Source organism: Homo sapiens, chromosome 2, assembly GCF_000001405.40.
Source record: "Homo sapiens chromosome 2, GRCh38.p14 Primary Assembly".
Classification (NCBI taxonomy): domain Eukaryota; kingdom Metazoa; phylum Chordata; class Mammalia; order Primates; family Hominidae; genus Homo; species Homo sapiens.
Genome location: NC_000002.12, coordinates 201,544,630 through 201,570,762, shown reverse-complemented (window position 1 = coordinate 201,570,762; position 26,133 = coordinate 201,544,630). Strand labels below are relative to the sequence as shown.

The 26,133-nt window shown below is 39.4% G+C and overlaps 1 protein-coding gene and 8 pseudogenes across 19 annotated transcripts in view, besides 2 other annotated features; 1 reads left to right on the top strand and 8 right to left on the bottom strand.

The window, feature by feature from the left end:
- Positions 1-26,133, top strand: part of CATSPERT (catsper channel auxiliary subunit tau) — a 131,758-nt gene that overhangs the window by 48,416 nt on the left and 57,209 nt on the right. For all 19 annotated transcript variants that reach the window (XR_007069662.1, XM_047443510.1, XM_047443509.1 and 16 more), the window contains 3 exons: positions 4,891-5,034; positions 23,153-23,258; positions 25,142-25,220. Coding sequence is in view for 18 of the 19 variants with exons in the window: in XM_047443510.1 (XP_047299466.1) it covers positions 4,891-5,034; positions 23,153-23,258; positions 25,142-25,220 (329 nt within the window). In the remaining variant the exon portion in view is untranslated. The remainder of the gene's footprint in view (positions 1-4,890; positions 5,035-23,152; positions 23,259-25,141; positions 25,221-26,133) is intronic.
- Positions 7,623-8,312: an enhancer, noted in NCBI's record as "NANOG-H3K27ac hESC enhancer chr2:202427174-202427863 (GRCh37/hg19 assembly coordinates)". NCBI's record gives its function as "activates a minimal SCP1, AML or CMV promoter by ChIP-STARR-seq in naive H9 embryonic stem cells {active_cell/tissue: H9 hESC(naive)}" and the evidence as "EXISTENCE:reporter gene assay evidence [ECO:0000049][PMID:30033119]".
- Positions 11,851-11,910: a silencer, noted in NCBI's record as "silent region_12233". NCBI's record gives its function as "represses an Ori minimal core promoter by ATAC-STARR-seq in GM12878 lymphoblastoid cells {active_cell/tissue: GM12878}" and the evidence as "EXISTENCE:reporter gene assay evidence [ECO:0000049][PMID:35858748]".
- Positions 12,494-13,807, bottom strand: MTND5P31 (MT-ND5 pseudogene 31; annotated as a pseudogene).
- MTND4P29 (MT-ND4 pseudogene 29) lies at positions 14,730-16,379 on the bottom strand (annotated as a pseudogene).
- On the bottom strand, positions 16,373-16,667 carry MTND4LP16 (MT-ND4L pseudogene 16; annotated as a pseudogene).
- On the bottom strand, positions 16,732-17,075 carry MTND3P16 (MT-ND3 pseudogene 16; annotated as a pseudogene).
- On the bottom strand, positions 17,151-17,904 carry MTCO3P16 (MT-CO3 pseudogene 16; annotated as a pseudogene).
- Positions 19,714-20,239, bottom strand: MTATP6P16 (MT-ATP6 pseudogene 16; annotated as a pseudogene).
- Positions 20,456-21,132, bottom strand: MTCO2P16 (MT-CO2 pseudogene 16; annotated as a pseudogene).
- Positions 21,290-21,489, bottom strand: MTCO1P16 (MT-CO1 pseudogene 16; annotated as a pseudogene).

The window sequence follows — 26,133 nt, the reverse complement described above, 5'->3', positions numbered from 1 at the left end:
GAGAACAGTCTTTAGTTGAGAGTGGCTAAGAGATGGAGCAAGGAGGAGAGCAATGAGGGATGAGCTAGAGGAGTTGGCAGGGGCAAGATACGGTGATTGAGAGTTCAGGCCCTAGAGCCAGACTGCATGGGCTCACATCCTATATGACCTTGGGCAAGTTACTTAGGCTCTTTATGCTTCATTTGTTGAATGGGATAAAAATTAAAACTACCCAATTGAGTTACTATAATGATTAAATAAGTTACATGTAAAGTACTTAGAACATGGGAGCAAATAGCAAAATGCCTAATTAGTTGTTACCTATTTATAAAATTAATAAATATTTTTCATTACCATCATCATCATTGTAGGTTTATGCTTCTCAAATGTGAGCAAATTTTACTCCTTTGGGTTCTCAGGAATGTACTCCATATATACTCCAAAAGAACTATTTGAGTTTTTAAATTTATATAGACAGAAATCTGGAGAACATGTATAGGGATGGATATTAAGGGCAGGGGATGATGGTGGAAGGAACATAAAGTTGGATCAGGCTGAGTTTATTGATATGGACTTACTAAACAGAGATTATTTTTATTTATTTATTTTTTTGGAGACAGGGTCTTGTTCTGTTGCCTAGGCAACAGATCATGGCTCACTGCAGCCTTGACCTCTTGAGGCTCAATCAATCCTCCCTCCTCAGCCTCCCAAGTAGCTGGAAATACAGGCATTTGTTACCACGTTTGGCTAATTTTTGTATTTTTTGTAGAGACAGGGTTTTGCCATGTTGCCCAGGCTGGTCTCGAACTCCTGCGCTCAAGTGATCCACCACTTCAGACTCCGAAAGTGCTGGGATTGCAGGTGTGAGCCACTGCAGCTGGCCTAAGCAGACATTTTTGCATTTAATGCTGTAGCTTGGGGAGTTAGAAAGGGCTCTCATAGCTTGTTTACTTGAATGACTGAAAAAGGAACCAAAAGACGGCTCACAGTGAATTAGCTAGAAATGCTCGATTAATGTAGAGGAAGGGTTTTAGAGGCTCAGAGAAATTATGTTAGAGTGGACTTGCCATTTAAGATTGACTCACCCATCCTGGGAGGGTCCAGAAGACACACGTTTTACCATGACTATGAGAAATGAGTTTGTGAAGGGTATCCTGGCATCCTTGGAGAGCTCTGTGATTGCTCTTCCCTGTGGGCCAGACTTTACAGTGGCACCTGCAGTCACTGAATTGGGAAACTTAAATGCAATGGGAGTAATTGGGTCCCAGGGTGGCAGGAACCAAGTGAAGATACTCAACTACCAAAGGCAAGGTGGGCATGGTTACCATAATGGACAGTAGAATCAAAGAAGCAATCAGAATAGTCTTGCTAGTATAAACCTGTGGTGTTGGCTGTCTGATCATGTGTTCCTAGACATGAGTAGATAGGAAGCCTACTAAATTCTAACCTCATCTGTATAAGCAGAAAAGTTCTGGGTCGAGGGAACAAAAGTCTAACCTGCATCATAAAAACAGAGTCATGGCCTCTCAATCAATTCCCAGACTTGAGCTACTTTACAGACTCAGAACTCCTTTAATGAAAGGGAGGTCCTTCAAGGAAGGACCCTAGTATACTTCCAAAAATTTATGCTGTTAGTATTTCTCCCAGCCTTCCCCAAAGGGACCTATGGCCTTTTACCGTGGTATTTGTGCACTGGGGAGAAGGGAACAATCAGAGCTTTTGGGGACTACTAGACACTGTCTCTGAACTAACACTAATTCCAGAGGACTCTGAATGTCACTGTGATCCATCAATGAGTAAGGATTTATGGAGCTCAACTGATCAGTAGAGTTTTGGCTAAGGTCCATCTCACAGTTGGCTCTGTGGGTCCCTGAACATATCCAGTGGTTATTTCCCTGGTTCTAGGATGCATAATTGGAATAGATATTCTCAGTAACTGGCAGAATCATTGCTTTCCTGATCTGTGGAATGAAGGCTTTTATTTTGGGAAAGGCCAAGAAGACGCCATAGAACTCCCTCCATCTATGAAAGTAGTAAACTGAAAGCAATACTGCATGGAGGAATTGCAGAGATTAGTGCCACCATCAGGGACCTGAAAAACACAGGAATGGCGATTCCTACCACATCTCCATTTAACTCCCATATTTGGCCTGTGAAGAAGACAGATGGATATTAGAGAATCACAGTGGATTCTTGTGAGCTTAGCCAAGTGACAACTTCAATTGCAGCTGCTATACTAGATGTGGTTTCATTGTTTGAGCAAATTAACATATCCCCTGGTATCTGATGTGCAGCTACAGATCTGGCAAATGCTTATTTCTCCATACCTGCTAATAAAGACCATCAGGAGCAGTTTGCTTTTGGCTGACAAGGTGAGCAATACACCTTCACTGTCCTAACTTAGGGGTATATCAGCTTTCTAGCCCTACATTACAATTTAGTTCCCAGGGATCTTGATTGCCTTTTTCTTCCACAAAATAGCAGACTGGTCCGTTTTATTGATGACATGCTGATTGGACTTGGTGAGCAAGAAGTAGCAACTACTCTAGACTTACTGATAAGACATTTTTGTGTCAGAGAGTGGGAAATAAATATGACAAAAATTCAAGGGCCTTCTACCTCAGTGAAATTTCTAGGGGTCCATGGTATGGGTGGTGACATCCTGTATACAGTGAAGGATGGGTTGTTGCATCTGGCTTCTCCTACAACAAAAAAGAGATACAACACCTGGAGAAATAACCACAGCTGGGCCTCTTTGGATTTTGGAGGTAATCTGTTCCTCCTTTGGGTGTGTTATTCTGGCCCATTTACTGGATGACTCAAAAAGCTGCCAGTTTTGAGTGGGGCCCAGAACAAGAGAAGGCTCTGCAACAGGTCCAGGCTGCCATGCAAGCTGCTCTGCCATTTGGATCATATCATGCAACAGATCTAATGACGTGTTAGCGGCAGCCATAAGGTACCTAGCTATTGGTCAAAAATTGTTCTGAGAGGAGGGTGTTTATGATGAGATTCACTTTTAAACTGGCACACTGAGTAAAGCAGGTTGCTCTCCCTAGTGTGGGTGGGCCTTATCCAACAAGTTGAATGAAACAAAAAGATTGACTCACCCTGGGGTAAGAGAGAATTCCTCCCGCCTATCTTTGAACTGGGACATTAACTTTTCCCTGCCTTTGGACTCAAACTGAAACATCAGCTCTTCTGGATCTCCAGCCTACCAGCCTTTGGACTGGAACTACACTATTGGCTCTCCTGATTCTCAGGCCTTTGAACTCAGTCTAAAATTATACCTTTGGCTCTCCTGGGTCTCCAGCTTGCTGATTAACTTTGCAGATCTTGGGACTTCTCAGCCTCCATAATCACATGAGCCAATTGCTTATCATAAATATATTTATGTATATATACATCCTATTGGTTCTCTTTTTATGGACAACCCTGACTAATATAATGGAAGAGAGGAACAAACTAATTCGTAAAATATTTAGAATGTTTAGCTATATCTCCTGTAATTAGGAAGTGACTGGAGATGGAAGATGACAGAAGGGGAAAGGAGGAAAAAAGATGTTCACATTTAGGGACCACTGGGTATACATTTGTTGCTGTTATTTCCTGAACCAGGGAACACTTAAGAAAGAGCATATCTGGAGAAGGGGAAAATCGTGAGTTCTATTTTGGACATGTTGAGTTTAAGGTGCTTACCACTATGCATAGTATAGAATAGAGTTTAAGAATCTAAACTTTATTGTCAAAGAGACTGTGTTCAAATGTTAGCTTTGCCACTTACCAGCTGTAAGACCTTGGGAGGAGTTGTTTAATCTTTCTAACACTAGCTTTCTTATATATGAAATAGGATCTAATAATTCTCATCTGATGGGCTTGCTGTGAAAAGTGAATGAGGTAATATACATAGCCATATGAACATTGCACCTAGCACAAAATACATTCCAAAAAATTAATAGATTTTAAAAATAAAATATTAAACTAGTTCAACCATTGTGGAAGACAGTGTGGTGATTCCTCAGGGATCTAGAACTAGAAACACCATTTGACCCAGCCATCCCAATACTGGGTATATACCCAAAGGATTATAAATCATGCTGCTGTAAAGACACATGCACACGTATGTTTATTGCGGCACTATTCACAATAGCAAGACTTGGAACTAACCCAAATGTCCATCAATGATAGACTGGATTAAGAAAATGTGGCACATATACACCATGGAATACTATGCAGCCATAAAAAAGGATGAGTTCATGTCCTTTGCAGGGACATGGGTGAAGCTGGAAACCTTCATTCTGAGCAAACTATCGCAAGGACAAAAAACCAAACACTGCATGTTGTCACTCATAGGTGGGAATTGAACAATGAGAACACTTGGACACAGAATGGGGAACATCACACACTGGGGCCTGTGAGGGGTGGGGGGAGGGGGGAGGGAGAGCATTAGGAGATATACCTAATGTAAATGACGAGTTAATGGGTGCAGCACACAACATGGCACATGTATACATATGTAACAAACCTGAACATTGTGCACATATACCCTAGAACTTAAAGTATAATAATAAAAAAAAAAAGAAATTTAAAAAAAGAGTTAGAGATTTGGGTCTAAAGATTTGGAGAGAGGTCTGGGCTCAAATACTTTGTACTTCTCATTAGAACTTGAGGCCCTTCTGTCCTTTTCCATCCCTGCTGCCTATGATCTAAGTTTAGTAGTAAGGATAATCAAGAGAGCACTTATCTCTAGATTTGTGGCTCTTGGCTTTTTTCCTAGCTCTAGCCTTCGATGGCCCAAGGTGGCTAGGTGAGCTAAAAGTGTAAAAGAGAAGGGTTCAAAAGTGATAGCTGCCACTGATTTTGGAAGTGGACTTTTGTATAATTTCAATATTTCACTTTATTATTATTTTGCAGAAAAGTTATTACACCACAGACAGTAGAATATCCAGCATTCTTATCCCCAGACCTGAATGTTACTGTTGGGACTCCAGCTGTGCAATCCTCCAACCAGCCATCTGTAGTGCGACTTGAAAAACTTCAGCAACAACCCCGGGAAAGGTAAAAAAAAAAAAAAAAAAAAATTCAAAAGAGCTCAAAATTTTCATCTTAGGTGTTATTTGTATAATATATTAATTTCTCCCTTTGAGACATAGGCTTGCTATAGGCTCAGAAACTTTCATTATGGTGCCGTTGTTTCATGGGTTCAGAGATTATTTCTGATTTTTACTTGTCAATTTAGGTATCTTGTTTGAAAAAGTGTTATGCCAAAGAAAGAGGTGAAAACTCCCTTTATTTTTATTTTTTGAAACAGTGTCTCACTCTGTCACCCAGCTTGGCCCAGATTGGAGTGTAGTGGCACGATTATGCTCACTGCAGCCCCAAACTCTTGGGCTCAAGCAATCTTCCAGCCTCAGCCTCCCAAGAAGCAGGGACTACAGACACATCACACATCACCACACCTGGCTAATTTTTTTTTTTTTTTGAGACGAGGCCTTGCTCTGTTGACCAGTCTGGTCTCGAACTCCTGGCCTCAAGTGATCCTCCAGTCTCAGCCTCCGAAAGTGCTGGGATTTCATTGTGCCTAGCTGAGGTGAAAACTCATTTATGAGGGATAAAGCATAATTCTTGCTGTCTCCTCATTCACCAGTGTATTTCGTAGGTCTCGTGCTTTTTTTTTTCTTTCTGTATTTCTTGTCCTTTTTTTTGCTATGCTTCAGTCTGGGTATTTTCTTCTGACTTATATTCTAGTTCACAGGCTCTTTCTTGTTTCTATTCTGCCATTAAATCAATTGAATTCTTAATTTCAGTTATTTTATTTCTCGACTATGGAATTTCCCTTCATTTTTATAGTTTCTATTTATCTGCCACAATCCACAGCCTTGTCTTTTAATTCTTTGAACATATTTATTATTGTCTCGGTCAGCTCAGGCTGCTATAACAAATACCATAGATTGAATGGTTTGAACAATAGACTTTTATTTATTACAGTTCTGGAGGCTGGGACATCCAAGATTAAGGTGCCAACTGATTTGATTCCTGCTGAGGGCCCTCTTCCTGGTTTGCAAATGGCCTTCTATTTACCATATCCTCACACTGTGGAGGGAGATCATCTCTCTCATGTCTCTTATCATAAGAGTACCAATCCCATTCATGAGGGCTCTACCCTCATGACCCAGTTACCTCCCAAAGGCCCTTCCTCCAAATAGCATCACATAAGGGATTAGGATTTCAACATATGAATTTTGGGGTATGTACACTTTCAGTTTATAGCAATCATTGCTATTTTAAAATCCAAGTCTGACCATTTCATTATCTGGATCTTCTGTGAGTCTATTTAAATTATTGGTTTTTTTCTCTTAGTTTTCAGTCAGTTCTTACATTCTCACATGCTTAGTTGTTTTGACTGAGTGCCAGACATTGTACTTGAAAATTTATAGAACTAATTTGAGGAGCTTAATTTTAATTACATATACCTACAGAGAAAGTATACATTTGTATCTGGCAGCCAGCTGGGCTAGGAGCACTAACAATCCCAGATCACTTTAATTCAATTAAGATTGAAATTGAAATGATTTGAAGCTGGGCTTTAGTTCTTGTGAGGGGGGTTAGTCTCTTTGTGGTTTATTCTTACTCCTAGAGTCAGGACTGGGACTAGTGTGAGGCACATGAGGTAACTTAGGTCATAACATTTGAAGAGACACTCATTCTCTTTTGGGGTCCCAACCGGGTGTTTTCCAGGACTTCTCATCCCAACAAGCCCTGGACTCTGGTTTTTGTTCTCACATCGTTGTATTTCTATCTCAAAGCTCTGCTCAGCTTTTTAACTTCTTGGCCATCTCAAGGCATAAATGCCTTGAAGGAAAAATGGCACCAAATGATGGGCTCCATGTCTCTGGACTTCCTTTCTGTCTGGAATCTTGGGTGTGCAAATCCTTGCTGTCTTTATAACTCACTGATTCTTTCCAACACGATTTAGACAGTGTTTTGTCCAGCTTTTACAGTTGTGCAGTGAGATGATTGGTCTGAAATAACCTAGCTCAGAATTACAGTGATCATTTTAAAGATCATAGTATCTTTTCTGAAAGAACTTAGAGTATAATGAGTAGAGACATAAAAAAGCAAAACAAGTAAATTATAAATTAAGAAATAAACTACAAAGGTATCAAAAAGATGGTAGAAAATAAAGGAGTTGACTGATTTTTATAAGAATTATTCCCCGTCCAGGAGGTGAGGGGTGCCTCTGCCCGGCCGCCCCTACTGGGAAGTGAGGAGCCCCTCTGCCCGGCCAGCCGCCCCGTCCGGGAGGGAGGTGGGGGGTCAGCCCCCCGCCCGGCCAGCCGCCCCGTCCGGGAGGGAGGTGAGGGGGTCAGCCCCCCGCCCGGCCAGCCGCCCCGTCCGGGAGGGAGGTGGGGGGGTCAAGCCCCCCGCCCGGCCAGCCGCCCAGTCCGGGAGGGAGGTGGGGGGGTCAGCCCCCCGCCCGGCCAGCCGCCCCGTCCGGGAGGTGAGGGGCGCCTCTGCCCGGCCGCCCCTACTGGGAAGTGAGGAGCCCCTCTGCCCAGCCAGCCGCCCAGTCCGGGAGGGAGGTGGGGGGTCAGCCCCCGCCCGGCCAGCCGCCCCGTCCGGGAGGGAGGTGGGGGGTCAGCCCCCCGCCCGGCCAGCCGCCCCATCCGGGAGGTGAGGGGCGCCTCTGCCCGGCCGCCCCTACTGGGAGGTGAGGAGCCCCTCTGCCCGGCCACCACCCCGTCTGGGAGGTGTGCCCAACAGCTCATTGAGAACGGGCCAGGATGACAATGGCGGCTTTGTGGAATAGAAAGGGGGGAAAGGTGGGGAAAAGATTGAGAAATCGGATGGTTGCGGTGTCTGTGTAGAAAGAAGTAGACATGGGAGACTTTTCATTTTGTTCTGTACTAAGAAAAATTCTTCTGCCTTGGGATCCTGTTGATCTGTGACCTTACCCCCAACCCTGTGCTCTCTGAAACATGTGCTGTGTCCACTCAGGGTTAAATGGATTAAGGGCGGTGCAAGATGTGCTTTGTTAAACAGATGCTTGAAGGCAGCATGCTCGTTAAGAGTCATCACCACTCCCTAATCTCAAGTACCCAGGGACACAAACGCTGCGGAAGGCTGCAGGGTCCTCTGCCTAGGAAAACCAGAGACCTTTGTTCACTTGTTTATCTGCTGACCTTCCCTCCACTATTGTCCTATGACCCTGCCAAATCCCCCTCTGTGAGAAACACCCAAGAATGATCAATAAAAAAAATAAATAAATAAATAAATAAATAAAGAATTATTAGAGAAGGGGCCGGGCGTGGTGGCTCACGCCTGTAGTCCCAGCACTTTGGGAGGCTGAGGCGGGTGGATCACGAGGTCAGGAGATTGAGACCATCCTGGTTAACACAGTGAAACCCCATCTCTACTAAAAATACAAAAAATTAGCCGGGCGTGGTGGTGGGCGCCTGTAGTCCCACCTACTCGGGAGGCTGAGGGAGGAGAATCGCTTGAACCCAAGAGGGGGAGGTTTCAGTGAGCCGAGATCGCGCCACTGCACTCCAGCCTGGGAGACAGTGCAAGACTCCATCTCAAAAAAAAAAAAAAAAAAGAATTATTAGAGAAGATATTTGAGGTAACATTAAAGGAAAGGAGTCAGCATACCAAAGATCCAGGGGTAGAGAATTACTGTATGAATTTGTATGAAAGCTCTAAGATAAGAAGAGATTATGCCTAGAAAAAGATGGCAGCCATTTGTAAATGGACCAAAAAGTAAGGGGGAAGGTGGCTTGAGACAAGATAGGTGGAGACCAGATTATTCAGAGCCTTATAGACCATAATTTGAATTTTATTATAAGAAAAGTAGGAGGCTGTTGTAGGTGTTTTATATTATCTTTTTTTTTTTCCTTTTCTTTCCTTTTTTTTGAGATGGAGTCTCACTCTGTCACCCAGGCGGGAGTGCAGTGGCGTGATCTTGGCTCACTGCAACCTCTGCCTCCCGAGTTCAAGAGATTCTCTTGCCTCAGCCTCCCGAGTAGCTGGGACTACAGGCATGTGCCACCATGCCCGGCTAATTTTTTTGTACTTTTAGTGGAGATGGGGTTTCACCATGTTGGTCAGGCTGGTCTCGAACTTCTGACCTCAAATGATCCACGTGCCTTGACCTTCCAAAGTGTTGGGATTACAGGCGTGAGCCACCAAGCCCAGCCTATATTATCTTTTAAATATAATATTTGATCCAAAATAATAATCCATAATACTAATTATGTATAGAATAATATAATGCTACCAACCAGTTCTTAACCTAACCTAAAACATTATGGATAATTTGTATCTACTTATGAGTTTCTCTCCTATCTCATCCTCCTGCCTGTTTCCCAGAAGTTAACTACTTCAATGAGTTTTGATTTTATTTTTTGCCTTTTGAAAATTAATTTTTTTAAAAAAGTCGTATATGTAGGATGCTTAAATAATGCATTATTTGATTTTGCTTACATTACCCACCATTATGTTTCTAAGACTCATCTATGCTGTTTCATGGCATTCCATTTGGTGAATATGCTGCAATTTTCATTTGTTTACTAATAGTCATTGGTTGTATTCTCTTCCTATTGCTGCATAACAAATTATCACAAACTTAGTTGTTTAAAACAATATCTATGTATTTTCTTACGGTAGGTCAGAAGTCTGGGAAGAGTGTAATTGAATTCATGAGGCTGGCCGGGCGTGGTGGCTCACGCCTGTAATTCCAGCATTTTGGGAGGCCGAGGCGGGCCGATCATGAGGTCAGGAGTTTGAGACCAACCTGGCCAACATGGTGAAAACTTGTCTCTACTAAAAATTCAAAAATTAGCCAGGCGTGGTGGCGGGCACCTGTAATCCCAGCTACTCAGGAGCCTGAGGCAGGAGAATCGTTGGAACCTGGGAGGCAGAGGTTGCAGTGAGCTGAGATCATGCCACTGCACTCCAGCCTGGGCGACAGAACAAGACTCTGTCTCAAAAAAAAAAAAAGAGAGATTTCACAAGGCTGAAATATAGGTGTTGGTCAGCGCATTCTCATTTAGCGGGGTCCTCTTCCAAGTTTGTTCAGGTTGTTTGAAGAATTCAGTTTCTTGTGATTATAGGAGCTTCTCTTCTTCTGGAACTCTCATAATGTGATAATTTGTTTGTTTAACAGTGTCCCGTAAGTCCTGTAGCCTTTCTTTATTCTATTCTTTTTCATCTGCCCGTATTATTTCAATAGACCTTCTTTTAAGTTCAGAAACTATTTCTTCTGCGTGGCCTGGTCTCTATTGTACATTTCATTATTATTATTGTTGTTGTTGTTGTTATTATTATTATTATTATTATTATTATTATTATTATTATTATTATTTGAGACAGAGTCTTGCTCTGTTGCCCAGGCTGGAGTGCAGTGGTACTATCTCGGCTCACTGCAACCTCCACCTCCTGGGTTCAAGGAGTTCTCGTGCCTCAGCCTCCGAGTAGCTGGAATTACAGATGTGAGCCACCAAGCCTAATTTTTGTATTTTTACTAGAGACAGGGTTTCGCCTTATTGGCCAGCATGGTCTTGAACTCCTGATCTCAAATGATCCACTCACCTTGGCCTCCCAAAGTGCTGGGATTACAGGTGTGAGCCACCGTACCTGGCCCACAATTTTACATTTTATTTCAGTCATTGAATTCTTCAGCTCTAGAATGTCCGTTTGGTTCTTTTTATATCTATTTATTTGTTGAATTTATCATTTAAATCATGAATTGTTTTCCTGATTTAATTGTCTGTCTGTATTCTCTTATATCTCGCTGAGTTTCCTTAAGATCATTATTTTTAATTTTTTTCTGACATTTCATGTATTTCCTTATGATCGGGGTCTGTTACTGGAGAATTATTGTTTTTATTGAAGGTGACGTTTCCTTGCTTTTTCCTGATTCATGTGTCCCTACATTGATTTCTATGCATCTGATGGAAAAGTCACCTCTTTCAGTCGTATGTAGTAGATTTCCCAGGGAAATATTTGTATGAATATTGTATGACATCTTGGGATATCAGATTGGCGGGGCACATTGGCCCGGTTCTAGGTGGATCCAGTAGTTTAGTCTTCACATAGTTTTTTCGGCTATAATCTATATTAGTGGCATTTGCAAGTTTCTCAGTAGCCTAGGCTGAGAGAGTCTGTAGAGGTGGTGGTGTGACTTTGTCAGGGATGGTCTCACTGGGCTGTTTCTTAAATGGGTGGCATGCAGTGGCTTGTCTGACCTGGGAGTATTCCTGCCCAGAGCAACTTGTGGGGCTGTTTCATAGGCGTCAGATGTGGGCACACAGCTGTTCAGCTGGCCTGGAATCCTATCTGCCAGGGGCAGCCCGTAGGGATGTTTCTTGGGCCTGAGATGTGGGGGCACAGCTGCTTTGCTGGCCTGGTGATGTGTCTGCTGGGGGCTGCCCACAGGGCCATTTCACAGGTCTGGGATGCAGGTGCAAAGCTGCTCAGGGGCATGGCCACTGGAGGTAGCCTGAGGAGCTGTTTCTCAGGTCCTGGACATGGGCTCTTGGCTGCTTGCCCAGCCTGGGGACATGCCTGTCAGGGGCAGCCTGCAAGATGGTTTCTCTGGCCCTTATTGGGGGTACAGGGCCATTGGGCAAGCCAGGGGTGCTACGGGGCTGTTTCTCAGGTCCTGAGCATGGGTGCATAGCCACCCTGTTGGCCCAGGGATATATCAGCTGCTCTGAGGCTCAAGAGTCTCTTCGGCTTGGGGGCATGCAGCAGTTTGGCCAGCTTAAGGACAGGTTCACCCTGGGTGAGAGTGGCAGTTTCAGTTCCTCCAGCTGGAAGTATGGTGGCTGGGGTTGGTTTCCCTGCTGTGCAGGACCATAGTCACAGCTAGTACTAGACCCAGGCTCTGTGCAACTGGGGTGTAGTGTTCAGTCACCTATGTGGGTTTGGAGGTGTAATGAAGATGGCGCTCCAGTGCTGGAGAGGTGCAGTGGCCACTGTCCCCCAGAGGAGGGTGCGCTTCAAGATGGCACTGTGCTGTAGCAGCTTGGCTCACAGAGGTGGATCTGGGGGCAGCGGGGAGCATACCTTGCGTTCCTAATCCAGGGCAATGCAGCTATGTGAATTCCCAGCATCTCTTAACACTGTACTCAAGGCCTGTGAGGACTATGGGGTTCTGCTGTAGAAAGGATTGTTGATATTTGTGGTGGCAATGGGGGCTGGTGGGGATATTCTGCTAACCTTTTCCCAACAATGGGAAGTCCCTCCTGTGTCCAGGCTGATCTGATCCAGACAGAGGAGACAGGGCAGCAGAGGCTGTTTGCCTTCACACTGCCCTCCTGGACTTCCAGTCACCGCAGGTGTGTCTCCATTCCCCTGCTGCATGCCAGTGCTGTCCCTTTGACATTCCAGTCAAATCTTAGTTGTTTATTCAGTGCATTGGTCCTTTCCTGTGGGAGTGATAAGTGCCAGGCATCTCTAGTCAGCTATCTTGCTGGCATCATGGCTTGAAAAACCTGTATGAGTAGTGGGAGATAATACTAAGACAGTTGTAGATAAAAAATCCAGGGAAAATGCTACCAGTTGTTAAACATTTAGCGAATTAATTAGGAGGAGGTTGTTTTCACTGATATTTATTAAAGTTTAAAAGTGAAGTCGTCCTAGGTATGCAAAGGAAATAATTCAAATGCAATAGACAGTTGCTAGGGAGGTGGCGATAAGTGTAATTAAAAGCGCTCAGGTTATGATGTGTTAGCAATTTTGATATTTAAATCCTTGGGGTAGAAGCCTGTAAGAAAAGGCATACATGTAAATGTGAGGCTTACAGTAATAAGCAAAAAAGTGGTGAAGAGTGTAGCTCTAAAGAGGCCTCCTATTTTTTTAATATCCTGGTCATCATTAAGGTTATGAATGATGGATCTGGAGCATATAAACAGCATAGCTTTGAAGAATGCATGTGTACAGATATGGAGAAATGCTAGATGTGGTTGATTAATACCAATAGTGACCTAGTTGGCTTGATGTGGAAAATGTGACCTTTTTGATGTCATTTTGTGTTAGGGCACAAATTGCTGAGAATAAAGTGTTAACAGCACCTAAGCATATTGTTAGTGTTTTAATTGTTTTGTTGTTTTCTATGAGTAGGTGAAAAGCAGATTAATAGGAAAATCCTGCTACAACTTCTGTGCTGGAATGGAGTAGGTCTGAGACAGGTGCTGGGCCTTCTATTGTTGATGGTAATCATAAATGAAGGCCAAATTGGACAGATTAGCCAGTTGTTTCCAGAAGGAGCCCAATTAATGGAAAGATATAGGGTTGGGGTTGAGCATGAAAATTTGATGAAACTCCCATGTGTCTTAGAATAGTAAAAATTGTGCTATTGATAATAGAAATCTGATATCTCCAATGCAATATATAAAATAGCTTGGAGGGATGCTATACTTGCATCCCCTCTGCTGTATCATCATTTGATAAGTAAAAATGATATAATTCTCACCCCTTCTCATCCAATAGAGTTGCCAGTTGTCAGAGGTTGTTGGCAGTAACTGAAATTTGTATAAGGATGAGAAATATAAGTAAATATTTTAAAAATCAATGTTTGAATTTAAATTTATGTATCATATTGAAAATGCTATGATTGATCATGTAACAGAAAGTGCCACTGGTACAGATATTATTGAGAAATAATGTAACTTGAAGCTGAGTGTTAGTTTTAAGGTTTGAATAGTTACTTGGGTTATTTCTTGGCCTAGTAAATGTATATTAGAGCTGGAATGAGACTGGTTATAAAAGCATATGATGTAGAAGTTTTTACATAGTGAGGGTATGAAATATCTTTATATGTGTTGGTAATAGTTATGATAATTTCTAAAATTAAGATAAGTGAAATGGTGATAAAGGAAGAGAATAAACATATTACTTTTTTCTTTTTTTGCTTTTATTTATTTTTATTATTTATTTATTTATTATTTATATTTTTTAGACAGAGTCTCACTCTGTCACCCAGGCTGGTGTGCAGTGGTGCGAACTTGGCTCACTATAACTTCTGCCTCCCAGGTTCAAGCAATTCTCCTGCCTCAGCCTCTAGAGTAGCTGGAATTACAGGTGTGCACCACCATACCCTGCTAATTTTTGTATTTTTAGTAGAGACAGGGTTTCACCATGTTGGCCAGGCTGCTCTCAAACTCCTAACCTCAGGTGATCTGCCTGCCTTGGGCTCTCAAAGTGCTGGGATTACAGATGTGAGCCAAACACTTACTACTTTTTTGGAGTTGCATCTTTTTTTTTTTTTTCTTTTTGAAGTGGAGTCTTGCTTTGTCGCCCAGGCTGGAGTCAATGGCGTGATCTCGGCTCACTGCAAGCTCCGCCTCCCGGGTTCACGCCATTCTTCTGCCTCAGCCTCTCGAGTAGCTGGGACTACAGGCGCCCGCCACCACCCCTGGCTAATTTTTTGTGTTCTTAGTAGAGACGGGGTTTCACCGTGTTAGCCAGGATGGTCTCGATCTCCTGACCTCGTGATCCGCCCTCTTCGGCCTCTCAAAGTGCTGGGATTACAGGCGTAAGCCACTGCACCCGGCCTGAAGTTGCATCATTTTTTTGGTCCCTAAAACCAATGGATTACTTGTATCCTTTAAAAGTTGATAAAGCCATATTGTTATATTAATATATGGGGGCATTATTAGCAGTTATCGCATACTTTCTCAGTAAATAAAGAGTTTTAAGCTTCTATTGTTTTATTTATAATCTGAATTTTTTTAAAAACAGTATGTAGGTCCTAGAATAATTTTGTCATTAAGTGATAGGAGTAGCAGAGGTAGATGTATAAAGCATTTTCTAATGTGAGTGATGGCTAATTTATTAATGTGATTGGTAAATTTTCCTTGTTGCATTGTAATTAATATGCAGAGGGAATATTAGGCTATAATTAATATATTAAGTCCTATTAATAATAATGGTAAAATTAAATCATGAAAATGGTGCTGTGACTACACATAGTTCTCTGATTAGGTTGATGGTTGGTGGTAGGGCTAGATTGGTTAGGCTAGCTAATACTCATCATGTTGTTATTAAAGGGAGTAATGTCTGCAGTCCTTGAATGAAGAGCATATTTCAGCTATAAATTCATTCATAATTTGAGTTTGTGATGAAGAATAGTATGGATGAGGTGAGGGCATGGGCAATTATTAGGGTTATGGCTCCTATAAAAATTCGTTGAGCTTGGATGAAAATGGCTATAAATGTTAGTGCTATATGATTTATGGATGAATATGTGATAAGTGATTGTTTTTATTGAGACAGAGTCTCGCTGTGTCTCCCAGGCTGGAATGAAATGGCACGATCTTGGCTTCCTGCAACCTCTGCCTCCTGGCTTCAAGCTATTCTTGTGCCTCAGCCTCCTGAGTAGCTGGGATTACAGGCATGCGCTACCATGCCTGGCTAATTTTTGTATTTTTAGTAGAGATGGGATTTTGCCACGTTGGCCAGGCTGGTCTTGAACTCCTGGCCTCAAGTGATCCATCCACTTCGGCTTCCCAAAGTGCTGGGATTACAGGCGTGAGCCACCAAGCCTGACTGTGATAAGTGATTTTAAGTCTATTTGGTGTAAACAAATAGAGTGTGTTATAATTATTCATCACGGGGATACTATATGAAATGGATAAGCTATATATTCCATTAGTGGGTTTGGAATTATAGTAATTCGTATTATATTAAAGCCTGCTAATTTTATGGCTGCAAAAACTGTGGATTCAGCAATTGGAGTTTCTGTGTGTACTTTGTTAGTCAGAGATAGAAACTATAAAGGGGTATTTTGACCATAAATGCTATAATGCATGCTAATCATAAAAGACTATTATGTCAAGAGCTGAGTTTGAACACAGTAACAGGTTATTAAAAAGTGTAATGAGTATGTGGAGTTTTGGATAAAAATTAATGATACGAGTTGAGGTAAAAAACCAATTAGTGTGTAGAACAGGAAATAGAGCCCTGGATTTAATCATTCTCTTTTGTTTCCTTATCAGAGAATAATAATTAGAGTTGGAATTAGTGTTGCTTCAAAGAGAATGTAAAATAGATTTAGTTCTGTGGCAGTAAATGTTATGATTAAGAATAAATGTAGAAAGATTAATATTGAAATATGTAGCTTTTTCATATATATGATTCTTTGGAGAGATGATGTTAACTTGCTATAATTATTAGGGGAAGTAATCAATTTGTTAGTATAATGAAATGGAGGCTGATAGTGAGTTGGAGAAAAAAACTAATGAAAAGTTTAGGTTATTTTTACTAAATTGGCTTAAGAGGAATAATTTGATGAAACTAATTAGTAAGCAGTGCATAGTTGTGTGAATTCAAATTTTAGAATTTTTAGAATATCGTGTCACTGGCATAAGTATAATTGTGGGTACAATAATTGCTAGCATTGGAGAAGATTTGAGTTTTATATGTAATCTGAGCCATATGTACTAGATACCATTGTTAGTAATGCCAGGCCTATGGCAGCCTCACAGGCTGCAGATACTAGTAAAATGATAGGTATTATGGTGGATAAGAAAAAGCATATATTTAAAATTACAGGGCTTCCTAGAATAGTGATAGTATTATATGTTTTAAACATAGTAATGGAGATATTAGGTGTGATCCCATTATACTAGTAGTCCTGTTAGGGATGTGATGTAAACTAGAATGATACTGATATAAATTGAAAGCATATTGGTAATTATGCTTACCATATGAGTCAGAATTATTTGTTGTAATTTAAACTTGTTGCCATACTTAAGTCACTCATTCTAGTCCATCTTGGATTCATTCATAAGCTTAGGCCTAAGTCTAGAATGCAGTTTAAAATTAGAGCTATAGTAAGAATAACTTTTGGATTACTTGAGATGCTCATGGTAGTAGTAATAGGAGGGAAATTTCTAGGTTGAATAGAAATGTAATAGTTAATACAAAAAATTTTCTGGAAATGGCAGGCAGACAGTGCCTATTAGATCAAATCCACATTTGTATGAGCTTGATTTTTCTGTATAGATGTTTAGTTGTGGGAAGCAGAATGTGATGATTACAAGTAGTCGTGCTAATGATGTATTAGTTGCTAAAGTTAATGTAAGGTTAATTATTATTTTCCAGCTTAGACTGAAGCTAACTGATTGGAAGTCAGTTGTACAGTTAATACTAAAAGAATAGGAACTTCATCAATAGACAGAAATGTACAGAAATAGTAATTACATCTGTAAAATATCATTATTAGGTAACTTGGTTACCTAAAAACTTTGGTTTTGAAAACCAAAATGGTGGTTAAATGTTAAGTTGACATAAGAAGAAAAGGATAAGGAAGTTGGAGCTGATAATTACATGTAGTCATTGGAAGCCTGTTACTATGAAGAATATTGAGTCATTTACACCATCACAGATGGTAAAGGATGTTTTGAAGTGTTCTAAGATTTGTAATAATATAAAAGAAATGCCAGATGAAATTGTGATGAAGAGAGCTTGAAGTATATGTTTGCGGATTTCTTCTATTAAGCTATGGTGTACTTGGGTGATTGATACTCCTGAGGCTAACAGGACTGATGTATTGAGTAGTTAAACTTCTAGGAGAATAAGTGGGTGAATACCTGTTGGTGGTCAGCAACCTCCCAGTTCTGGGGTCGGGGCTAGGCTTGAGTGATAGAAGGCTCAGAAAAAAACATGTGATATGATAAATTATTCTGTATTAGAGGCATTTTTGAATGATTAATGTATGGAGGCCTTGCAGTGCACTTTCTCAGCTATCTCATCATCACTGGTAGACGGTTAATATATTAGTTAGTAGACCTACACATAATAAAATAATCAAGTTAAAGTGAAATAATATTACTAAGATGTCATGAATAGAGTTAATAATATTCCTGTACGTGGTCAGGAGCTAGGATTAACTATATGGTCAGTGTAGGACTATTGGGTCATATAGTAAAGACTATCCAGGAGTGTGGAATCATAAGCTTGAATTGGGGCTACAGCAAATTCAAGAAGAGTGAGTAAAATTACATTTATAAAGATGATAAATGTAATTGAGGCTGTTGCAAAGATAATGTTAATAGAGTTAAATCTTGAACAATGGAAGGTTAGGGTTGCCACCCCCTACCCATGCAGTGGAAAATCCATATATAACTTTTGACTCCCTTACAACTTAACTACTAATAGCCTACTGTTGACTGGAAGCCCCACCAATAACATAAACAGTCAGCAAATATTTCATGTTTTACAAAAAGTGCAAAGTTTTTGCACCTGCTGGTGTGGTTTCAGCAATGGCTTCATGAATTTTTCTTTCTTCTTTTCTTTAACAATAGTCCTTATGCTGGATTCATTTATCTTGAAATGGTGGGCAACCTCAATCTATGGTACATATCAAGCAACTCAACTTATTCTTGTAATGTCATAATTTTTCTCTGTTTCTTAGGAGCACTTCTAGCATCACTAGTGGCACTTCGTACAGGTCCCATGGTGTTATTCAAGGTTTACACTGCGAAGCTCAATGAAAAATATACAAGGGCTGGGCGCAGTGGCTCACACCTGTAATCCCAGCACTTTGGGAGGAGAGGATCCCTGAGTTCTGGAGTTTGAGACCAGCCTGGGCAACATGGTGAAACCTCATGTCACAAAAAATACAAAACTTAGCCAGGCGTGGCATGCACCTGTAGTTACTCAAGGCTGAGGTGGGAGAAGTACTTGGGCCTGGGGGGTGGAGCCGAGATCACACGGGGCCGAGATCGCACCACTGCATTCCAGCCTGGGCAACAGAACTAGACTGTGTCCCAAAAAAGAAAAAAAAAAGAAAGAAACAAAGAAAAGAGAAAGAAAGAAACAAGAAAGAAAAATACACAAGAACCACGAGAGATCACTTTTTTTTTTTTTTTTAGACGGAGTTTCCCTCTTGTTGGCCAGGCTGAAGTGCGATGGTGCGATCTCAGCTCACTGCAACCTCCGGCTCCCGGGTTAAAGCGATTCTCCTGCCTCAGCCTCCTGAGTAGCTGGGATTACAGGCATGCACCACCATGCCCGGCTAATATTTTTTGTATTTTTAGTAGAGACGGGGTTTCTCCATGTTGGTGAGGCTAGTCGAGAGATCACTTTTTACAATGACATGCATTTATTTACTGGAGAGACGTCTCACGCAGAGTTGATTAGTGTCACATGGCATTAAAAGTGAATACTCACAATGCCTGAGCTCTCTGCTATAGCAAGAATAGGTGACTACAAAATTATTACAGTAGTACAGTATGAACTACAGTTAATTTATGCAGTTATGATTTAATACAGTATCTTTACATTTGTTTGCATTTCTCTCAATTGCAAATGGCACCATGTATAATCTCTATGTGCATGAGTTTTACATTTTATAATAAATCTGTGTATATTTTATGGTAGTAAATGATAAAATAGAGTAGTACTTTATAATAGACTAGTACTTTAAAATAGTAGTACTTTAAAATAGACTAGTACTTTATAATAAATGTCTATGTGCATACATTTTAAATTTTATAATAAATCTGTGTATATTTTATGGTAGTAAATGATAAAATAGACTAGTACATATATTTTATGCATTCATGATATACTAACTGAAACATTTTTAAAAAAATATTTCTAGGCTATGCAGCTTATCTGTGAGTTTTTTCAAATTGTAACTAATCTCAAACAATTTTCCAATATATTTATTGAAAGAAATCCACATATAGGTGGACGTGCACAGTTCAAGCTCATGTTGCTCAAGAATCAACTGTGCTAATGTGGCTCCACCAATTAAATGCATGAATGGACAGCTGTAATACTGGCTGTTAGTGGTAGAGCTGCAGCCACTATGGGTTGAGTAAAAAGTCTCAATAATTACTAGTAGAGGGATAAGTGGAATGGGTTTTCCTTGTGGTAGGAAGTGGGCCAGTGTTGCTTTTGTTTTGTGGTGGAAACCAGTAGTTACTGTTCCTGCTCATAGTGGGATAACCATACCTAGATATATTGATAATGGGGTGATTGGTGTAGATGAATGACTTAATGATCCGAATAAATTTGTTGAGCCAATGAAAATAGGATAAAGGAGATTAATATTAGAAATCAAGTTTGTTGTTTTATATTATGGAATGTTATCACTTGCTTTAATACAAGTTACACTAATCATTGTATAGAGATTAGTCGATTACTAATTAGGCAATTGGGAGCAGGGAATAGAATGGGAGTGAAATGATGAGGATACTAGGTGGTCCTATTATTGTGGGAGTAATGAAAGAGATAAATAAATTTTCATTCACTTTTTTTCTTAGGGGTTTCATGTTTTGGTGCTTCAATATTTTTTGGTGACAGGTTTAAAGAGTAGGTATATTTTGAAATTTTTAATTGAAATAGGCTAAATAGGGCTAGAATTATTGAAAAAAGTGATAAATTATGTTGATGTAGCTAATTGTGGCATATTGTTGTGGAAAGATCAATGCTTTCATTCTTTAACTTAAAAGGTTAATGCCACTTAGCTTCACGATGACATAGGTGCCGATCAGTTTTTGCAGCACTAATTCAAGTACAATAGGCGTAAAGCTGTGATTTGATCCACAAATTTCTGAGCATTGTCCATAGTATAGGCCTGGTCATGTGGATGTTAGAGTTGCTTGATTTAAACATCCTGGAATTTAATCTGTTTTTAGGCCTAATGATGGAACAGCTTATGGATGTAATACATCTTTGAATGAGATTAATATGAAAATTGACATTTCCATAAGTAGGACTACTCGAATTATCAACTTCTAGTGGTCATAAATCTCCTGGTTTAAGGTCTGTTGTAGGGATTATATAAGAATCAAACTTCAGGTCTTTGTAGTCTGTATATTTATACCTAAATATCATTGGTAGCCTATGGTTTTTACAGTTGGGGAAGAGATACTCATTTTACCTATCATGTATAGGATTCATAAAGACAGTAAAGTAATTAGGATTAAAATAATAGCGAGTAAGATAATTCATACTGTTTCTACTTCTTAAGCATCTATTTTGTGTGGGTTAGTTTAGTTGTTAGTATTAATGAAATAACATAAAGGACTAAAGAGCTAATTAAGAAAACGATTATTACAGTGTGATTTTGTAAGTGTAGTTCTTCTATAATAGATGATGCTGCATCTTGAAAGCCTGACTGGAATAGGTATGCCACAAAGATATAAAGAATTTTAACCTATAAATTAACTTTGACAAAGTTATGTAACATTTTTACTAGTATCTTGCTTGTTGAAAAAGTCATAATGGTTATGAAGCTAGCCTGAAACCAGTTATAGGGGGTTTGACTCCTTGCTTTCTTATTTTTAGCTTCTACGTATATGGGCTTTTTGATTGTATAATATGGTTATGGGTGGCCATGAAATCATTCGAAATTTTTAGATGAGAGTTCCACCACTGACACTTCCCATTTTGAAGTGAAGCCTTCTCAGATTATGAAAATTATTAATATTAATGTTATTAATTAAATAAATGAGCCTGTTGATGAAATGGTGTTTCATGTTGTATATACATTAGGGCAGTGACCTGTAGTGGACCAGAAGTGTAAGGTCTTACACTTTAGTTTCTGAAAAAAATACTTAAAATATTATTTTGAACTCATAGATTTAAACATTTGATAGGCTGCAATCCATTGCAGGTTTTAATCTTTGTTAAAGTGTATTGGTCTATTTTATGTGACATTAATTTGCCTGAATTTTTTGCAGGAGAATTGGCTTAGAAAACTCTTCTAGCTTCACAGATTCACACTTCTGATGTTTTCATTTGGCTGGGGGGTGTGTGTGTGTGTAGTATAATGGAATGCTTTTTAAGATTTCCTGGGGTCCTGTCCTGGAAGAGATACTTGGCTGGTCAGTTTTGAGCATTCATAGTCATTAGACTGCTCCAGGCCCTTTAGATCTTACCATGAATCCTGAAACGAGAAAAGCCCTCCCAGTTTCAACTGCTATTCTCAAATTGTGTCTGCACACTACTGGATTTTTGTACTAAAACTATATTTTATTTGTAATGTTCACATCTATATTCATGAATGAGATTAAACTGTAATTTTTCTTTTTTGTAATGTCTTTGTCAGGTTTTATTGTCAAGGCCATTATGTCCTCATGAAATGAACTGGGAAACATTCCCTGTCTTCCATTTAATCCTTGTTAATTATATCTTTAAGGTATTCAAGCTTTTTGAAGTTTCTTGGATTAGAAGATACATCCTTTTTTTCACTTGTTTTATTGTGGAAGATATTGTATATGTATTGAATAATTATATATATATAGTGTTATGGACTGAATGTTTGTGTCTCCCTTCAAATTCATATGTTAAAATCCTAGTCCCCAGTGTGATGTTATTTGGAGGCATTGCCTTTGGAAGATAATTAGGGTTAGATTAGGTCATGAGGGTAGGACTGTTACAATGATGGGATTAATGCCCTCATAAAAAGAGAAAGAGACACAAGATTCATCTCTTTCCACTATGTGAGGATATAAGAAAGCCATCTGCAAACAGTGAAGACTACTCTCACCAGACACTGGATCTGCCAGCACCTTGATCTTGGAATTCCTGGCCTCTAGAACTGTGAGAAATAAATGTATATTGTTTGGGGGAGGGATAGCATTAGGAGAAATACTTAATGTAAATGATGAGTTGATGGGTGCAGCAAACCAACGTGGCACATGTATACCTATGTATCAAACCTGCACGTTGTGCACAAGTACCCTAGAACTTAAAGTACATTAAAAAAAAAGTCTGTTGTTTAAGTCACCCAGTCTATTGTATTCTGTTACAGCAGCTCAAACTGACTAAGACGTATAGTTTAAATACTAAGAGTAATATATATTGAATAATTTCTATAACAAGTATGTATAGCCTAAATAATGATAATAACGCCATTGTGTACATATTTATGATTCAGGTTAAGAAATACACCACCAGTAATATCAGAAATACATTTTGTGTACCCTTCTGAGGTTACATCCCTCTCCTTAACCATCCCCAGGTAACTAGTACCTTGATTTTTGTTGTAATCATTCCCTGTCCTTTGACTGTATCCCTAGACAATATATTGTTGGTTTGTCTCTTTTAGAACATTTTATAAATGGATCACATTGCAAGTATTCTTCTGTGAATCATACCATATGTATTCTTCTATCACTTGCTTTTTTCATTCATAACTTATTTCTTTCTTTAGGCTGGAAAAGATGAAAAAAGAATATAGAAATCTGAATACATGGATAGATAAAGCTAACTATTTAGAAAGCATTCTAATGCCAAAATTGGAACATAAGGATTCTGAGGTAATTGACATAATACATTCTCCTATATATAGCTTTTAATACTTTTTATTAAGAATGGGATTATGATAATTAAAAGTGATGATCAAATTTTTTGTCCTTGATATATAAAATATTTTTCATGGTTCAGGTACTTACCTGTTTTGATAATGTGCCATTCAATGAATATTTATTGATAATTTATAGGGTTTAATAGTTACTGATAATTTATAAGGATATCATTCATATACCATACAAATGACCCATTTAAAGTATAGAACTCAGTGGCATTTAGTATCTTCACTGAGTTGTGTATCCATCACCACAGTCAATTTTAGAACGTTTTTATCACCTGCAAAAGCAACCCCATACCCTTTAGCCAATACCTCCCAATTTTTCCATCCCCTCCACTAGCCCTAGGCAGCAATTAGTCAACTTTCTAACTGTATAGCTTTAGCCTATTCTAGACATTTCATATAAATGGAATCATACAATGTGTTGTTCTTTGTGATTTGCCTCTTTTGCTTGCTATGTTTTTAAGTTTCACCCCTGTTGTAGCATGTACCAGTACTTCATTCTTTTCTCTCTCCAGATAACATTCTATTATTTGGATATGCCACATTTTGTTTATGCATTCCTCAGCTGATGGGCATTTAGTTTGTTTCTACTTAAAAGCTATTATGAATAATGCTGCTGTGAACATTTATGTGCAAGTTTATGTGTGAACAAATGTTTTCAATTCTCTGGGGTATATATAAAGGAGTAGAAGCTGGACTGTGTCATAGTTTCCTGTTTCGATTTATGAGGAGCTTCCAAACCGTTTTCCACAGCAGCTGCATCATCGTACATTCCAACCAGCAATGTATGAAAGATCAACATCTTCATCTACCCTTTTTAACTTCTAAAAATTATTATTATACCCATCCTAGTGGGTTTGAAGTGGTATCTCATTGTAGGTTTGATTTGCATTTCTCTAATGACTAATGATGTGAACATCTTTCATGTGTTTACTGGACATTTGTATATCTTCTTTGGATAAAGTTTATTCAAATCCTTTGCCAATTTTAAAATTGAGTTATTTTTCTTTTTATTGTTAAGTTGTAAGAGTTCTTTGTATATTCTGGACATTAAACTCTTATCAGAAATATGAGTAAGGTTTGATATTTAGAAATATACTCTAACCTATACATGTTGACTTGGAAATAAAGGATTCATAGCTCTCTCAATGGATGGATAAAACATTGACTATGATCATAGTCTAAAATGTTAGTTATAACATATTGATATTTTCATTTTTTTATACCTCTGTGATAATTGGGCAGAGTTGGGCTTCTGTTGGATAAACTGATTAGTATTTACCAATACACTATTCATATTTTAGAGACATTTTGGAGGACTTTTTATTAAAGGGACTAAGAACTTAGGGTTCTTTTTAAAAGATCAGTATTTTATAAGTGCCCACTGATCACTTTACCTTATAATTCTCCTTGGAATTTTGTAAAGAGACACATCACTTTTAAGTCATAGGCCATAATGTATTCTAATAAAAAAAGTAATCTGTTTCCTGGGGGTATCTTCTCATACCCCCTGAAGTTACAATATTATGTAATTTATCTTGTAATATTCATCTCCCACATTCATCACTCAAATACTCTATCCATTCTTGGATACACTTTCTTTGGAACATCAACTCCTAGCCAGAGTATGTGGCTCCTTAAAATAGTGCTGTTTGAATTGCTTTCCTCACAAACCCATCTCCTTCTTGTCTTCTGTAAATTTGGGTGTGGAGGAAGGTGTATTGTATTAAAAGTAGTTATGAAGGCAGAGGAAAATGTTTTCGTTCTTTAAATATTTTCCCATATATATTTTTTTTTCTTTTTTTTTTTTTTTTTTTTTTTTGCTTCTAGGAAACTAATATAGATGAGGCATCTGAAAACACGAAAAGTAATCATCCTGAAGAGGAGCTTGAAAATATTGTAGGAGTAGGTAAGAAACTACTTTGATTTTTTTATTATTAAGATAATTGAAATCAAAGTGATTATATCACAAAAAGACAATTAGTAATTTGCTTTAAGTAGATTTCTGTTTTGTTAGGAAATAAATAGGCATTTCACTATAGTTTTGGCATATGGTAGGTGTGATAATTTTAAAGAAAAGTGTTAGACCCTATTACGAGTTTTAAAAAGTTTTAAGGCCAGGCACGGTGGCTCATGCCTGTAATCCCAGCATTTTGGGAGGCCGAGGCGGGTGGATCATGAGGTCAGGAGTTCAAGACCAGCCTGGCCAAGATGGTGGAACCCTGTCTCTACTAAAAATACAAAAAATTAGCCAGGCGCGGTGGCAGGTGCCTGTAATCCCAGCTACTTAGGAGGCTGAGGCAGGAGAATTGCTTGAACTTGGAGGCCGGAGGTTGCAGTGAGCCGAGATCTTGCCACGGCACTCCAGCCTGGGCGACAGAGTGAGACTCCATCTCACACAAAAAAAGACGTTTTAATGTTGCTTTATTTTTAAATTTTATTATTATTATTATCTGAGACAGGGTCTAGTTCTGTCACCCAGGCTGGAGTGCAGTTGCACAACCACAGCTCACTGCAGACTTGACCTCCTGGGTTCAATCAGTCTTCCCACCTTAGCCTCCCAAGTAGCTGGGACTACAGGCACACGCCACCATGCCTGGCTAATTTTTGTATTTTTTTTTTTTTTTTTTGTAGAGACAGGATTTTGCCATGTTGCCCATGCTGGTCTCAAACTCTTGAGCTCAAGCAATCCTCCTGCCTTGGCTTCCCGAAGTGCTGAGATTATAGGCATAAGCCACCACGCTTGGCCAATGCTCCTTTACTTTTTTAAGGATGAGAAAAAAGTTAAAATATTAACTATGACCTGTGAAAAGGCATTTTTA